Below are 18,330 nucleotides of genomic sequence, written 5' to 3' on the forward strand. Positions count from 1 at the left end.
AAGGCTCTTAATGATTCTTTCTTGACTTTATGGGTCATGTGTCTAAGTACAGAAGTTAGTACACATAAAAAACTGTAATTGGGTACTAAAAAATACATATACAGATTGCCCCATATCTAATTTTCTAACTTTAAGTGTATAATTGTCAGAGGCATTTGAAGCAGAGCAACTCCATCCATGAATAAGGGCTGGGTAAAGTAAGGCTGAGACCTACAGAGCTGCATTCTCAAGTGGTGAGGCATTCTTAGTCACAGGACGCGATACAGGTCAAAGGCCTTGCTGGTGAAAGGATGTGGTAAAGAAGCTGGTCAAAACCCACCAAAACCAAGATGGTGGCGAAAGTGACTTCTGGTCTTCCTCACTGCTGATTATATGCTAATTATAATGTATTGGCATGCTAAAAGACACTCCCACCAGCACCATGACAGTTTACAAATGCCATGGCAACATCAGGAAGTTAACATGTATGGTCTAAACAGGGAGAACCCTCAGTTCCAAGAATTGCCCACCCCTTTGCCAAAAACTCAGGAATAATTCACCCCTTGGCATATGATTAAGAAGTAACTGTAAGTATAATCAGTTGAGCAGCCCATGCTGCTGCTCTGAGTAGAGAGTAGCCATTCTTTTATTCCTTTACTTTCTTAATAAACTTGCTTTCACTTTATGTATTTGCCCCGAATTCTTTCTTGCACAAGGTCCAAGAACCCTCTCTTGGGGTCTGGATTAGGACCCCTTTCCAGTAACACAACTGTAGGCTTTTATTGATTGAAACATAGGTGATAAACAGAACTTCAAATTTCCTTTGATTTTCTGTCATGGCCTGGATTAATCGCCACATTTTCCCTAATTATGGCCATCATCTTTTCCAGTGCAAAAGAAAAACTCTTCACCACGTCTTTCTGCAGAGTTTCCACCCAATCTTGTTTTCCATCACAGGAAAGTAAAAGGAAAGCTTGCAAGTGTCTGTAGTCATCATTCAACTACTCAACTTGACTAGACCATCATCACCTACTCCTTTAACTTTGTGCTCAGTAAACTGTCTCTCTCAGATGAAAGTCATTGCTATTAGCTACCAACACAATTGTGCCATTTGATTTTTTATTTGTGACTTACTGTTCCAGAGCTGATCCACAGTTAACGAAAATTAAAGCCACAAATTTTTCCCCTAATTAGACATTTGTGCCTTCCATAATGACACTTACATACAAATGACACTCAAATGTATAAGATGTAGGCTATATGCACAATACACATAACGAACACCACATGAAACAATTTTGGAATTTAAATTTAGATTAAATTGGTATTTAAAGTTAATCCTCATTGAATATGAAACATTAAAAAGGCAAGCTTAAAAATACCAAGCAATTTGGCATTATTCAGTACAGCATGTCAATTCACCTTATTCAAAAGCAAACCTTTTGCAAAGCAAAAATTCTCCCATTAAACCCAGGCATTAAGAAGAAATAAACTCTTAATTACTTAAGGAGGAAATGCTCTCGTTTCATGGTTAGCAGGTTATCAATGTAAACAATCCAGGGAGCTTTCTCAATGGCTCCTGTTTCAAGAGTCCCAGCCTCTATTCCCCATTCCCCATCCGCCACCCTCTTTCTACACAACAGGAGCTAATGTCTTTATGCGTACCAAAAAAGACACTACTGACCACAATGGGAGAGCTTAGGTATTTGCCCACACTTTCCCTGCAGGAGTAAATTCAGTAGAACCCTATAATTCTGAAACAGTCAAGTCATGGACCATCTGACTCATTAAATATTCCAGGCAGCCTTGTCAGTAGTCTGGAAGACCTTGCAGTTATAATTTCTTCCCTCTGTCATTCCTCTATTAATACTCAGCTAACTTGAATTTCAACATGAGCTTTAGACTAGCTGAAGAACATTTATTGTGCAAGATTCATAAGGTACAGAACCTATTCATAGAAAGCATTTTGGCATCCAAAATATGTGTAACTAATAATGAATAATAATAGCATTGTCTCCGAAGGCAAGAGCACAAAAATACAGCTATGAAGCAAAAATAAACTCCTGACAGTGCCATATGTACCCTAAAGGAAATAAGTAAAAAGCTTTTTTTCTGAATATTAGTTGTCACTATTTCATTTGATTATTTCAAAATGTAACTTTTCATTAACTTAGGTTTATCATGGATTTGCAGATACACTGGTATCTAATAGAGAATATTAACCTTAGACTATCAAGATAAAGCAAATCCATGAATTTCAGCATTTTTTTTTAAGACATATGGTCTCACTATGTTGACCAGGTTGGTTTTGAGATTCTGGGCTCAAGTGATCCTCTACCTCAGCCTCCAAAGTACTGAGGATTACAGGCTTCAGCCACTGCACCCAGCCTAGCATAATTCTCTATAGCTTTTACACTTGTCCAACTTTAATGGAAGAAAGGCTTCTTTGTACACAAATCTGACAACATATCTTTTTTTCTTTAGTTGTGTATGCCTATGATGGTCAAACTTTGGACTATTAACATTTTTATTCTCAGTTGCAAACACTAAGAACCATTCTACATTTCCTCTGTAATGCAACAATTTTGCTGATGCCTTCAGTAATTATGACAATACATTTTTTGCAATAGATATGGTAATTTGAAAAGAACACATTTAAATATATGGTTTTATGCAACAGCTATCAAATATGTAAAATTCAATATCCCAAGAGTTTGTGCATGTTGAGGAAAGAAATCCAAGAAATATTTAATTAAACTAATGAATCATCATTTTCTCACTGGTCTTCCATGTGCTGTATTTATTAAGAGAGAGAATATGGGCTCTAAAGACCATTGGTCTGACTTAGGGTGCCATTTCTCGCATTTTCATGATCTGAAAGTAAAACTAGAGCATTTCGGCAGTTTCAAGTTGGCACGAGTGCGTTGCTTCCTAGCTTGAAATGCATAATTAACCAGAAAGCTAGTTGTTGAGCAGTTAAACAGGCTGTCCAAAAAGGCCCCCATTGCTGTTCAAATGAATGCTGAAAAGTAGGGTGCCACAGTGATTTTTTTGTTTTATAGACAAGCTACATACAAGCAATTGACAAAGACTAATTTTCCTTTCTTTTCAAAGCCCATGAAAGCTTGTGGGTAATAGCAATTATTTCTATTTGTCAAATACTTGTATCCAGAAGTGGATTTATAATCCCACGAAAATTCTGTAATTTACTGAACCACTGAGCAGGTCCATGCTACTCCCCCTCCCCAGCCCCATAGGATGTAATTCATTTCAACAGAGGATTGGAGACAATGATGTAAATGAAGCAGTCCTCACAAGGCAGAAGGGGAAAAGTGTCAGGGGAACATACTTCTTAATTCCCATAAGAAATACCCCAATTACTGGACAGAGTGCCAAATTTCAGAACATAAATGAATCCCATTCTTATTACCGAGTGGAGAAGATGCTAGGGCAAGAATAGTGGCTTAGAGTTAGAAGGAGACATACACCTACAATTGCTAAAGCAATTTCTGCAAGAAAAATTTAAATAAATATGGGAAACATTATGGATCAAATCCAAGGAAGGTCTTAAATATATAGTGCTCAAGAAAAGTGCATGAATGTTTCCATACCTCAAATATGGTATTTTAAAAGAGCTTGCCTTTAAAATACAATGGATGTGTCATGATCTAACAGTTGTCCGCTTTTCCAGCACATCCGACTAACTAGAATTCTTGGGAGATCCCATGCCACAATTCATTTTCCAATTTCTAACAAAGACAATGCACTTCACATTTTTACTTTTGCATTCCAGCACTTACTTGCATGGTGGTTTATGGTTGGTTTGTGTGTGTTTCTTTTTTAGAAATGTTAGAATGGGAAAAATGAGGTAATTCTTCAACTGACTCAGTCTTTAATGATTTTAATGAGTTCCAGTGTTTATGCTTGAGCTAACAGGTGCCTTATTTTTTTCCTTGGCTATTCTTTCTTCCCTTGTCCTCCTATTCCGGGCAATCCATGCAACACTCCAGCTGTAAATTATTCTGATGGTATGAATAAGCTTTGACCTGAAATCAGGTTAGTAACTAACTGAAATCTAACTTACATTTCCATAAATTTGCTGTTTTGAAAATGATTAGCATGACTTTGAAAAATCTGTTAGCTGAATCTTCAAAGACTACTATAATCTTCACAAAATCATTTTATGTAATATGTCTTCCATCACTGTATTCTATACATACAACATCCTCTTTCTATAGCACTGAACTCCCAAATTGTTTCCACTAGTGGAAAAATGCAGTTAATATTGGATTCATTTGTTGTCAGTCACCTTTATAAAATATACACACATTCAAATGCACATGGACACAGGCTCCGCGTTTTAAATTCCGCATTTTCTCAAAAATTTAAACATATATGCCAAAGATTATGCAAAATATGATCTCCCTATAGAACATTTTCTTTTTGTTAGGCAGTGTAAAAATAATAGAATGTATCACTGTTCTTGGAGCTTTGTGGATTCCTAGACTTTGTAATTCTTCATGAATGCAGAGTTATTTTTCCAAGATGCTAGAAGATTCCCCAGGCCATTTTAATAGTTCTATTATTAAATATATAATAAACATGATTACTTATTTATTGTATAATGGATGTATAATAAATAAACGTCAGAAAATTTCAAAACTTCTAAATGGGTTATTGAGCTATCAAAGTCTGCAGCTTTTCACTATCAGACAAGTGAGGGTAGGAAAATGGGCCATCACACGATCTAAGGTGAAGGCTAAGGGCAGACGGTATATTAGTAAGCTAGAAGAGGGGAATATCTTCCCAGGTGGACTGATAAGATCAGTGTGGCAGAGCTGTGGGAACCCAAGGCCCTCTGTTACTCAAGGCTGTGTGTGCAGTGCTGAGAGGTCAGCCATGGAGGAAGCAACATGGTCCTGCATTTCGATCTAAGCCTACAATCTAACCATTGTCAGCTCACCCCATTTGTTTCACGTAAAAGCAATGCTCAGAGACATCTGCAGAGGGACCTAACTTCTCAAACTTGCCACTTTGGATTGAAACCGTATATGATATGCATTCCCCCTATCTACGTCACATGCATATACATAGCACAGTAACAAGGCAATCCTCTGTGTTGTGTTCTCAATTCCTTCTCCACAGTTTTTTTTACTTCATGATGACAATGCAAAGAGTGGACTGAGGACTAGGCTTACCAGGTTCTAGGCCCAGATCTGCCCCTTTCTAACTGTGTGATCTTAGTATGTCACTCAGCAGATTTGTGTGTGGGTGTGTGTGAGAGGGAGTCTCACTCTGTCATCCAGGCTGGAGTACAGTGGTGCGATCCCAGCTCACTGCAACCTCTGCCTCCTAGGTTCAACAGATTCTCCTGCTCAGCCTCCTGAGTATCTGGGATTACAGGTGCCCACCACCGGGCATGGCTAATTTTTCTATTTTTAGTAGAGACAGGGTTTCACCATGTTGGCCAGGCTGGTCTGGAACTCCTGACCTCCAGTGATCTGCCCGCCTCGGCCTCCCACAGTGCTGGGACTACAGGCATAAGCCACCACACCTGACCCACCAGATTCCTCATGGACTGGTTCCTTGTCTGTAAAAATGAGATGATTTATTAGATGCTATCTATACTTCCTTCACTTCTTCAAACGTCAGTGGTTTCTTTTTTATTGGTAGTTTTCTGTCTTCCTGCCTTTTGCCTGTGTCCATTTTTCCATTTTCATTTTATGAATTTTTAATCCTCCACCTCAGTGAACAGCCTTTCCTTCCACACCAACAGGTCCTCTGTCCTGAAAGAATATCACAGCTCTATATTGGAGCTCCCACAGCTCTTGGTGCACTGCATTTTGATTGCTGTGCTGCATAAACTGTCAATTTCTTTCCAAAAAGACATCCTCTATCTTGTTTACCCTTATGTCCCCAACTTCCTGGCACTTTGTGAATATTCAGTGAATATATTTTAAATACTTGACCTTCCTAACCTTTTCTTGGAAGGACCCTTCAGGTAAAGGAGATGGTCAAGAGGAGTTGCATTTGCTTTTCTGGCCAACTCTCTTTACAAGGAGCCAGCCTCCTGTTCAGTCTCTTCTGAGGTGACTTTTCTATCCTGTGGATCTTCACTGGTGACTGTAACTACTAACCAGTTTGCATTTATTCACTCACAAATGCAGGGACACACATATAACCGTGTTAGGCATCACAGAGCATATCCCATAAGTGATAAAGTCACAAATATGTTACCCCCATAACAAGTTAATAATCTTCCAGCATGCCAGAATGTCAGTTTAGCCACAGAAACAGCCCTATATATTCTTCTACAATCTCTAGTTTCTTTTCTACCCTTTCTTCCCTATCACACAACTCCTAATGTAGTTTGGGGCATCAAATATAGTTCAATACATTTTTATGCCAAAAGTTTCTTCGGAATTGAACCAGATACGCCTGATCTAAACTTATACCTTCAAAAGTCTTTATGTTGTTCTCTGTGAGATACACAGTTACTCAAATAATCCTCCCAGGCTTAACTTATCAACAGTTTGATAAATTAGCTTAGACTGTGGATATCCTCACTGCAGCACACCTCTGCAGATTCACACAAACAAAGGCCAATTTGGAAGCACTAAGTGAAGAGATTCTCTCCTGTTTCATTTTCTCCATTCTCCTCCTAAAACCACAGGAAATTTTGGCACTTTGGACATTCCTTTTACACAAGGGACACAGTAAAACATAATTCAACTGCTTGAATCTGGGTGAAGGGAGACAGCAATTAGGACAGCTTTGGAAAAATAAGAGAGTAACAAGTAGGTGGCCCAACTGTGGGAATTGAAACTACAATAACAGCTTCTAATGAACAAGTTTCTACACAGAGAAGCATGCCTTCACACACACAACAGTGGTAAAACAGCACGAAAGACCTGTATTTCGAAGGGGCACCAGTTAGATATTTAAAACTCACGAGTATGGTCAAGATTTAGTCATACAAATTTATTATCCCTTGCACTTGACTAATTCTGTTATGCTGAAAGATAGAGCATTTGAGCACATTTCAACTTAAGTATTGAATCCAAAGACACTGAAATAGAAAAAAAATATAGCCATAAGAACCATAGAAAAATGGAACAAAAGAAAGATAAGAGAAAAAAACAAAATTTTCTCGGTAACTGTAACTACATAGGAATGAAAAAAGTTGTAACTATACAGCGTTTTAAACAGTAGTCAATGATTATATGTAAATATTGTTTTTGACATTACAAATATACCAATTCAAGACAGACCTGTAAAGTGCTGCTTTTTCTGTAGTCATTTACATTTTGAGACAATGAGACAAGAATACAAGGTCCTTTTCTCAGAACAAATTTCCCTGCAATAGTCACATCGGTACAGCTTCTGGTATTCATGTAAAAGAACCTATTAGTTGACTAAAATACCCCTGTAAGTTCCCAATCATATTTTGTTACTAGGGTATATTCTAATTTTTTTCCTACGGGAAAAAACAAATCTGTACATTCAGGCTTCAGGAATATAGTTGGAGTAAAGAGAAAAATCAGGATTTCTGCCCTGCATTATGGCCAAAAGATAATGGATTCTTAGGCTCTTTGTCAAAAACTTCCTACTTTACAATTGTCCAGAGCAAGCTTCTGGACAGAAATAAATTTGAACCCCCAAAGATTCTTAAATTCACAAATAATCAGAAACATTCACACATAACACCACATCAGAGCTTCCATTTATCAAGAGCAGGTATGCAGTCATTCCTTGAGAATACTCTAATTCTTACAGCCCAAACTGCATCTACTGTATAGCTTGCTGAATAGAAAAAGTGTTGGAGGTGGTGGCATATAATGAGGCTGGAGAGTGGAAAGGAATAAGAGCAATAGCATGCTCAAGGTTTTGGAGTTGATTACAGTAGAAATCATCTTGCTCAAAATATAGTGGGATTTATGCATTCCAGTGCCACATCATCCACCATTATCCATCTAAAACACAGAAAAGGCAGTGAGAATGTAGTCATTCATGTGTGGTCCCCTTGATCCTGCTTTGCCTTCAATTTCATTACTGTCTGCCAACCAACCAATTAATCTGAAAACTTATCAGTGGTGCTACTGCATATCTGGCATCCCTGCCCCAACAAAACTGGAGTTCTGTGAGCGAGTTTAAAATAACCTAGTGAATAGGAGCAACCACGGACTAAGAGTGAGAAGGGAAAAAAAGGGGGAGGGGAGAAGGAATACAGGGAAAAAAGGGGGCAACTTCTGGAAGCAAATACTAAAGAAAACATGAAATAAAAACTTTATGTTTTAACTTTTTAATAAATCATGGGGCAAGGGATAGAACACATGACTCTTTGAAGTTTTAGACAATAAATCTTGGAAATGGGTTGTTCGATTATTATAGTACCCCTCCGAGGGCAATGAAAGGATGTAATGAAAAAAATCAGGCCATCAGAACAATAAATTATCCTGACTTACCAGAAATACCAGCAAAATCTTTCAATATGACCTGTTACTGGCCAAATTAGGAGGAAAATAACATCCAGCGCTAGGGATCACATTGAAAATAATTTCATTTGATTTTCATTAAAAGCTTTCCAGATAGTGACTGGTAAAAGAAGCCCATATATTCTATCTATAGTTTAATGTATATGAGTACTACAGGAAAGAAGAAAACTTTAGAGATAATCTATTTGCAAATATTTCCGGGGAAAAACAAAATTGTGAGATTTTCCTATGATGAAAATATAGTAATTATAATTATTTTTAAAATGTATTCTTTTATTTTTTAAAAATTAGAAAAAATGTTTTACATGTATAACATGATATTTTGAAGTATATGTACACTATAGTTAAATCCAGCTAATTAACGTATGCATTACTTCACAGTTATCATTTTTTGTGGTGACATGCTATTTAAACATATCTTCCCACTCTGTGAGCTCACCTATAAGTTATCTTCAAAATCTGATAATACATTGCATGTCATTTTCTTATTAAAAAAGCATTTTCACATACCTTATCTTGTGATACTTACCATAGCACTTTGAGAATTATTTTTGCCATTTATCAGAAAAGAAAACTAAGTTCAGGAGTATATAACTAAATTAGCCATGCACATAATACCAGCAAATGGGATTCAAAATGGGATTTTTTGACCCCAAGAATGTGCCCTTTCTATAGTACTGCAATACAGCTGCAGGCTTGATAAATGATTTTGAAAAATAATTAAGTTTTTTTAGATTGGATTTGATTTTGGGGCCAGCCTAAAGTTGTATGGCACTAAGACTTTCATACGAAATAAATGATTAGGTAAGATAATGCCATTAGGAACTTTGAAAAACAGGTATTATCTATGGCTCTGAAGATAATTTCAAAGGGCATTTTAAGAAGAGTTTTGAACACTAATAGTTACTATTCAAATCTACGCACATTTCAAAGGTAACTGATTTAAAGTTAATAATAGCTAGCATAACACTTTGCACACAGCATACACTCAGCAAATATTAGCAAAAACCCTTAAAGTACTTCCATATATAAGCACTGGTAAGGTTTTCTAACAACCAGTCTCATCAGAAAATTACACATGCCCATTAGGAATGTAAATTCAGGCAGATTCTCTTAAAATAGCTTTGTGAAAGTTATTATAAGCCTTACCATGTCTATAAATTTTGGTCTATTTATTCCAATTTGAGAATTTAGCCTAAAGAACTAATCTAAAATGTGAGCCATGATTTTTTTGCTTTCTCAAAAATGTTTACTATGATATTATTTATGTATAAACGTTGTCTTTAAAAAAACCTGAAAAAACAAAAACAATGTCAAAACAAAAACAAACAATAGGGGCCTCATTAAATAAATTGTATTCATTTAATGAAATAATACTTAGATATTAAGACTTTAAAGAATTTTATTCATATAATGAAAACTTCTAACGCAAACCTTCACAAAAAAGCAAGAGTAAAACAAAGATTATACCTGTACACACTAAAATGTAAAAAGTAGCCATCTCTGGTTTGTGAAATTACAATTTTCTCCTTGTCTTTTAAAAATTTCTTATATTGGGTATCCTGTTTTTATACAGACATCTAAGTTATTTTATAATCAATAACTCAACAGTCAAAATTGAATTTTTAGCATGTGTCAGGCATAGTTCTAACCTTTTTGTACATACTATATAATTTACTTTTCATAAATACCATTGATATAGAAAAATTTACTTTGTTTTTATACGTGGAAACAGGCAGAGAGATATTAAATAACTAGCCCAATATTACTTTCCAAATAAATATTTGACCTGGGTCTTGAACCAAATGGTCTGATTCCAGAACTCATGTTCTTCATGGCGTTGCTATACTCTTCATGTTACACAGGCTGCTTAGCGATATGTCAGAATATATTAATGTCAAGGAGAAAGTGATCTCATGCAACTGCGACCATGTCTATAAAATGTTATAACCTTTTTGGTGAGATGGACTGATGGTGTATTAAGTGTACTTAGCTTACCTCACATATAACTAGTTTTCATGAATGTGTTACTTCTCCTTCCCGAGAATACAAAAGCTGTTTTACATAGAGGGATATTACATCTATTTTGTAATCATATATTTACAACCATTTATGGTATATTAGGCACTGGATTAAAAGCTGGAAATAACTAGCAAGTTATAGCATTCATTGCCATAAATTTAACACTACCTTGGAGTGGGCATACGGTTTTAACTGAAACAGATTCTTGACCATGGGAATGGAGGCACTACCTTAAGAGCAAAGAGATTCAGATTGTTTCCTTGCTAGAACATGCTTCTGAGGCACTACTGACTGTATAGATCAAAGACAGCACAGGTAATGTTATTGACTTCAGAAATTCCTGCTATATTCACTGGCTAATATTATGTCCACAAAACCACAGCTGCTAAAATTGCAAAGGCATGAGTCAGTCATGACAATAATTTAGAGTATTATCATGATAAGCTCAACTAGGAAGACACCAACCTCATTTTACTATGGATGAAAACTATTGATGGATATTTTTGGTATTATTGATTCCATCTAAATATCCTCTGAAATGCTAGAGTGTAATCTAGGTATTTTTTCTGGTTATCATTGCTGATTTTTTTTTATTATACTTTAAGTTTTAGGGTACATGTGCACAACGTGCAGGTTTGTTACATATGTATACATGTGCCATGTTGGTGTGCTGCACCCATTAACTTGTCATTTAGCATCAGGTATATCACCTAATGCTACCCCTCCTCCCTCTCACCTCACACCAGTTAGAATGGCGATCATTAAAAAGTCAGGAAACAACAGGTGCTGGAGAGGATGTGGAGAAATAGGAACATTTTTACACTGTTGGTGGGACTGTAAACTAGTTCAACCATTGTGGAAGTCGGTGTGGCGATTCCTCAGGGATCTAGAACTAGAAATACCATTTGGCCCAGCCATCCCATTACTGGGTATATACCCAAAGGTTTATAAATCATGCTGCTATAAAGACACATGCACACATATGTTTATTGCGGCACTATTCACAATAGCAAAGACTTGGAACTAACCCAAATGTCCAACAATGATAGACTGGATTAAAAAAATGTGGCACATATACACCATGGAATACTATGCAGCCATAAAAAAATGATGAGTTCATGTCCTTTGTAGGGACATGGATGAAGCTGGAAACCATTGCTGATTTTTAAAATGATCTATTTAAGAATCTTTATAAGCAGAGCCCTTTTTTCTTAATAAAGGAGGAATTCAGAAGTTAATAACATTGGTCTGCTTTACATCCTATACTTGTTTTCCCTCCAAATTATATGAAAGTCTTATTTCAAATGCAAGTGAAAACATTCATGTCCTGTAGCTTGAGACCTTACTACATATAATATCACTGCACAGCATGATACAAATTAACGTCTTTAAGAGGGAGCTCAAAGGCATACAGAAGTATAAGACATGCCAAGAAGTTTCATTTAAATTTCCTTTGTTCATAAGGCAAATTTTTATATTTACTAATCCTTGGATAAATATAACATAAATACATAGAAAAAGAAGCATTATGTTTTCTTAAACTATAGGTTGACCCATTGCAAGCACATGATGATGCGTCTCACTAGGTGTGCATGTAGTAAAACAGATTGATTTGCCAACCAACAGTTAAGAAAATTAATTTGTTGAGCATCATATTTTATACTAATTAAAAAAGAAAATTTGTAAGAATTATGTAAGAGAATAACCTAACATTAAATGGCACCATAATGGCATGAACAATTTAGAAACAGAAAGTCAATACCTTGGTTTCTCTAATATAAATGTGTTGCTCATGCTCTTCAAGCATTTTATGAAATGAAACATGAATCAAAGTCATTACAGAGCTAATGAGTGAAATTGTATTATTTGCTGTCTCTCATTTTCAGTGTTGATTTTGTTGGAAAACAGTATCTTAAGACCAAAACTCTGGGAACTGTTGAGATTCTGGCCACAAAGACAGCTAGACCGTGGGGAAGCAAACATCTGTACACATCTGCAGCCATATATGAGGTCCCTCATGAGACTTAGCAACAAGGTGTGTTTTAATGTGACAGTGTGTCTGATGTGTCCCCAGCACATTGGGACCAGTACACAGTGTTATTTGTACATCTGCTGAGTAACATTGAGTGTGTGGGTAACTAAAGCCCTCAGTAATTATTTTACTTAATGTTTTCAAGCTTAATTCTGATCTTGTACTTGCATGATTTATTATTCCTTGTGCTAAATTCTTCAATGTTCTTGCCTTGATTGATCTTTCATTATCTATCACTTAACTAAAATATTAAATTCTTTAATTAAGTCATGTTTAAATGAGGACTTGTTTTAGTCTCTTGGAGGTTTATTCATTGCTTAGGTACTTTTTCAATAACTCTTCTCTTGTTTAAAATCAATAAATATGATTAATTTGCCATACATTTATGATAGGTCAATATATTTATTATGGAAACATATAGCTAACTTGATTTGAATTAAATTGGTTTATGCCTACAGATCAATATTGTTCTACTCCTACAAAATCACCTTGAAAAAAATACTATTGGTTAAATAAAGAAGACAATGATGTATATTTATAAGACAATAGGTATCAACCAGAGAAAACTCTTTGCAGTTGGCAATATTGGGAAAGAAGGCCACAGACAGATTTATGTCATCTAGATATCAAAGAGAATGAAATACATGGCTCAGAAATTTGTTGTAAAAGGGAATGGACTCGTATTTAAGGACAGGACTCTGAGGACTATTCATGGAATGCATGAAGAAGACTGATAAGGATAGCCTATAAGGCACAGTATAGTAGTATAGTAGAAGTGCACCAACTATTTCTCCAGACTTGAACAACCAAGTCTAAGAGTAAGATAAGGTAAGACAAGGTCAGGAAGTCTCAGGGCTGGAGAGGTGGTGATGTTGCTGAATAATTGCTTTTTAAAGCTGGAGGGGACTTCCAAGAGTCTCTCATTTAAGAAGAAAAATTAAAGACATAATTGGTAACGGTTTTGACTGCTGCAGAGGCAACACTTTGCTCACAATCCTACAGATCTACTTCACCTGTAACTACAATTTTCCTGAAGACATAGAAGAAAAATCAATTGTTCTAATCCATATGGAAAAAAAAAAAAAAGAAAACTGCCAATGTGGTTTGACTAGCAAACCACTGGAGTTGTGGCTTAAGCATAAAGGATTACTTCTTCCATTGCCACTAATCTAATTACTTTCCCCTATCTGTCTCCATTCCAGCAGGCATGTTTAGTAGCCAAGCTGTATTACAAAAAAGGATAGGATGTGGGTAGGTAAAGCAAACAAACGGCAACATCAAATGCAAAGTCTTTCATTTCAAAGGACTAATGCTCTCTTATTCCACTTGTCTCCAAAGAAAAGCAATCTCAACCAGGTGTGGCCTGTTATCCCAGCACTTTGGGAGGCCGAGGTGGGTGGGTCACCTGAGGTCAGAGTTAGAGACCAGGGGTGGGTCACACCTGAGGTCCGGAGTTCAAGACCAGGGTGGCCAACATGGTGAAACCCCATCTCTACTAAAAGTATACACACACACACACACACACACACACACACACACACACACACACACACACACATTAGCTGGGCGTGGTGGCAGGTGTCTATAATCCCAGCTACTTAGGAGGCTGAGGCAGGAGAATTGCTTGAACCCGGGAGGCGGAGCTGAGATCACGCCACTGCACTTAAGCCTGGGTGACAGATTGAGCGAGGCTCTGTTTTAAAAAAAAAAAAAAAAAAAAAGCAACCTCTCCACTTTTCTGAGACAGCAAGCACAGAGATGTTCAAATTAGGTTGACTATGCCATACTTCTTAATTATGTATCTGCATAATTATTAATAGTGCCCTCTTTTACTCACAAAAGTGCTCTGATTTGGACAATAAGTTATATTGTTATCCTAAATACATTGTGACAGGAAGGTCAACTTATATAAGACACTAAAACAAATTTGACAAAATTCATTTTAGTAGATCATCCATTTAACATATATAATTCTACAAGTTCATAACTTATCAAGACTCACTAAGAAACAAAGATTTAAGCTATTTTTATATATTTGTTGTCTTTCAAAATGTTTCTTTTTGGCAAATAACTTTACTTTAAAAAGTAAGGCATAGACTAATTTAGAAAACAAAAAAATATCATTTCCTCACACTTTACTCTAAATCTTATTCAGTGTTATGTCATTTTTTAAAAAAATTTTTGCTTTCTCTTAGGACAGCAAACATTTTTGAGATGGAAGAAAACCCATAGATTATTTACTTCAATGCCTTAATGTTACTATCAAGAACACTGAAGTTCAGAGAAATGAAATGACTCACCCAAAGCTGCTGGTCTGGTCTAGGTAGCGACCAACTAACCAGACCAGTAGCCTAATGAGCCAAGTTGGTTCTGGAACTCCTGACTCCTAAATACTTGTTTCCTTCTGCATTCCATTCTGTCTCCTGGATTATATTCTCTATTTTATTAGGTTGGTGCAAAAGTAACTGCTGGTTTTAATTTAAAAGTAGTAACAAAACCAGCAACTACTTTTGCACCAACCTAATAGAAGCCTCCTATCAGGAAGAACTTCATCAAAACCTAGCTTTGCCCTAAGCATCACATTTTCCCACTGGAAAAGGGTAGATAAAAAAGCAAAGGACCAAAAATAAAAATGATAATTTACCAACCTCTCTCTCAGGAGGCAAAGTACAGAGGTCTCTGCAAAGGAGCATTTTAAAATGTCTTAGGTTATTGATATTTGATTGCTTTTTGAAGATTATGCAGAGTTCTCCTATCTCTCAGTCTTGTGATTGTCTTCAGTATGACCAATTGTTATTTTTACTTATTTTTTTATGTAACTTTTCTTTTAGGTTTGGGGTACATATGCAGGTTTGTTATATAGGTAAACTGCATGTCATGGGGGTTTGGTGTACAGATTATTTTGTCACCCAGGTAATATGCATAGTACCAAATAGATATTTTTTTTCTGATCCTCTCCCTAATATCAAAGAAGAGCAACAACTTTGGGAAGGTTGGCCCAGGAGACATCATTGGGAATTGTAAACCAAACAAGAAAAACATAATCAAGACATGTTTCTTAATATTCAATTTATTACAACATTTTATTGGCTCTCAAAGCAAGTGTTAGGATTAGTTTTGCTGAAGAATTTGACAATTTTGTTTGTTTCTTTTGTTTTGTTTTTGTTTTTCTGAGACAAGGTCTCGCTCTGTCACCCAGGCTGGAGTGCAGTGGTGTGATCACAGCTCACTGCAACCTAGACCTCTCCGGCTCAAGTGATCTTCCCACCTCAGCCTCCTTAGTAGCTGAGACCACAGGCTTAAGCCACAGGGATAAAATGAGGATTTAAACCCAGGCTAGTATGGCCCCAAAGCGTGGGCCTTTAGTCTTTATGTTACCAGCAGAAATGGCCTTTGGATGGCACAGTGTCCACAATGAACATCTACCATTCACTTTTATTCCATGTTCATGTTTAGGAAGCAATATGTTTAAAATGAAGATAGCTGGAGTCAGGCACACTGATAGCTTGGATGGATACACACACACACACACACACACACAAGGTAAACGCACAGAGTCATAAAACAGTAAGCTGGAAAACTTTAGGGTCAAAGACCCAGATCTACTTCAAAATGTTTCAAGTGCTTCATATATAAGAATTGATCATAGAATTAATAACCAAATAATCAAAACCAGGTCGATTTAAAAGAATATAGTTTACAATAGCTATAGAAGTCATGAAATATTGAGAAAGATGTTCCTTCCCTAAAATAATTCAAACCTATAGAGGACACTTAAATTATCCAAACAAATAACAACCGCAAGATAGTTTAGCTCTAGATATTGTCAGATAAATATCTGGACTTAATATTCTTTACATTATTTTATTTGTTTTATGTTTACTTCTACACTTATATATTCATATTTACTGTTTATTACATTACATTATATTAATATTATTCCATTTTACTAGACCATGTGTAGGTCAGATAAATTACTTCCTAGAATATATCAGCTTATAGCATCCCAGAAACAACCCACAAAGGGTTCTTCTTTGCATAATACAACAGCTCAGAAAGACTCCCATATCTGATCTTTTGTCTTTTCTCAGTAATCCGTCTGGCCTACTTCAACAACATGTCAGGATATTCTGAGGTACTAGGCCACCTGAGCCTAAGACCTCAAAAGCACTGAGCCTCAGCTCATCAGATTCCTGGCTAAGTACTTTCAATGTCTGTAGTAGCCTCATTTGCTCATGCTTAATAAGCTCATACCATTTAGAGAAAGGACTCAAGTGTGAGTAACACATGCTTCCCCTAGTAATGCACAGCATTAAGAAGCGAAGTAGAAGACAAAACTCTCTCCCTATTTCACATTCTTCTGAGTTCATTATTGCCATGAAAAACGAATCAGATTTGAGTTGTTCCTAATCTCTGCTCTTCTGGTCTCCATCAGAGAGGGCAGCCAAACTGTGACAGGAGCCATCTGGGATGGGGACAGGAGAGGAGAGAGAGCCCTGTAGTTTTCTTCTGGGGAAAAGCAGGCACAGGGGGTAGGTTGCTCCTAGAGTGGACAGCAACACTGACAGCTCATCATCATTTATTCTCAGCCTAAACACCAGTGGCAAGAGCCCCATCAGGTGGCACTGAGAGAAGGAGGCCAAAGAAGGCACAGAGAGGCTTTAGGGGTGACTAAACATACACACTGTTGTAGGACTGAACATTCGTACATCCATCTCCTCTAGTAAAGCTTGAGGTTTTCTATGGCAGAGGCTATGTCTTAGGTACCAGTGTTGTCACAGCATCTTGCAAGGGGCTTGGCATGGGATTGATGCTCATAGAATATTTGCTGGAAGCAGGAATCAATGAATAGGGCCCAGCCCTTCTGGATTCCACCGGCTACTTCTGGCTTCTCAAACACACTCAGGCACGTACACTTGATTTCAAGGACAAAGTTGCTGTCTATTTTTAATAAAGAAGCAGCTTGAGTGAATCCCATTTCTATTTCCTTACTCTCATACTGTCTTCTGTTTGCGTGAGCAAGAGTATGGACTAATTCCAGGCTTCAGTTCATTTTAGTCACAGCAGAAATCTAATCAGGGCTGTATATTCTGTCTCTGTCCCTCTGTCTGTCTCCTTTCTCTCCCCCTCCTTCTTTCTCTGCCTACCTCTCCTTCTTACTCACCCTGCCTCCACCTCCTTCTCTGCCTCCCTCCATCTTTGCCCCTGTCTCTTTTTCTCTCTCTGTCAGGTGATATACAAATCCCAGGAACACAGATATACACACTGAACTGAATAGCTCATTTTTCAAAACTGTGTCAAGATTGTAATGGTTAGTGTGCAAGAAGGAAACTTATCCTTGTAACATTAGGATTTTTCTTTTTCTTTAATTGCGCCCTAAGAATTAAACCCTATGCAAATAGGACTTAATTTTGCGTTCCCACTTTTTCCTTTAATAATTGTGTGTATATGTGTGTGTGTAAGACAAATGTTCTTTGTTGAAAGCTAACAGTTGCAGGCTTCTTTTAAAGGTTATAATTATATTTATAAACACATTGCTATCAGGTTTACACCAAATAGACCAATAATTTGCCGGCAAAAGGTAAAAAATTTAATAAAACCACCTTGTTCGAAAACAAATTTGTTATAGAAACACCTGAACATTGGTTTTGTATAAAGTATATGCAAGATGTAACTGGACATTCATGTGATTTTAGGTAGAATTTTTTGTTTGTTCTTGTCCTCCAGAGAGGATTCAGAAATAAGAATGACTTGGAATTGGGCATTTAAAAAATATATCTAAAAATTCTATGTGCTGCGGAG

The 18,330-nt window shown here is 36.6% G+C and overlaps 1 protein-coding gene across 23 annotated transcripts in view, besides 1 other annotated feature; it reads right to left on the minus strand.

The window, feature by feature from the left end:
- The window catches only part of SLC8A1 (solute carrier family 8 member A1), a 415,166-nt gene that overhangs the window by 304,557 nt on the left and 92,279 nt on the right, over positions 1 to 18,330 (minus strand). The window lies entirely within an intron of this gene.
- Positions 103 to 397: an enhancer, noted in NCBI's record as "tiled region #14225; HepG2 Activating non-DNase unmatched - State 24:Quies". NCBI's record gives its function as "activates a minimal TATA promoter and a strong SV40 promoter by Sharpr-MPRA in HepG2 cells {active_cell/tissue: HepG2}" and the evidence as "EXISTENCE:reporter gene assay evidence [ECO:0000049][PMID:27701403]".

This window comes from Homo sapiens, chromosome 2, assembly GCF_000001405.40.
Source record: "Homo sapiens chromosome 2, GRCh38.p14 Primary Assembly".
Lineage (NCBI taxonomy): Eukaryota > Metazoa > Chordata > Mammalia > Primates > Hominidae > Homo > Homo sapiens.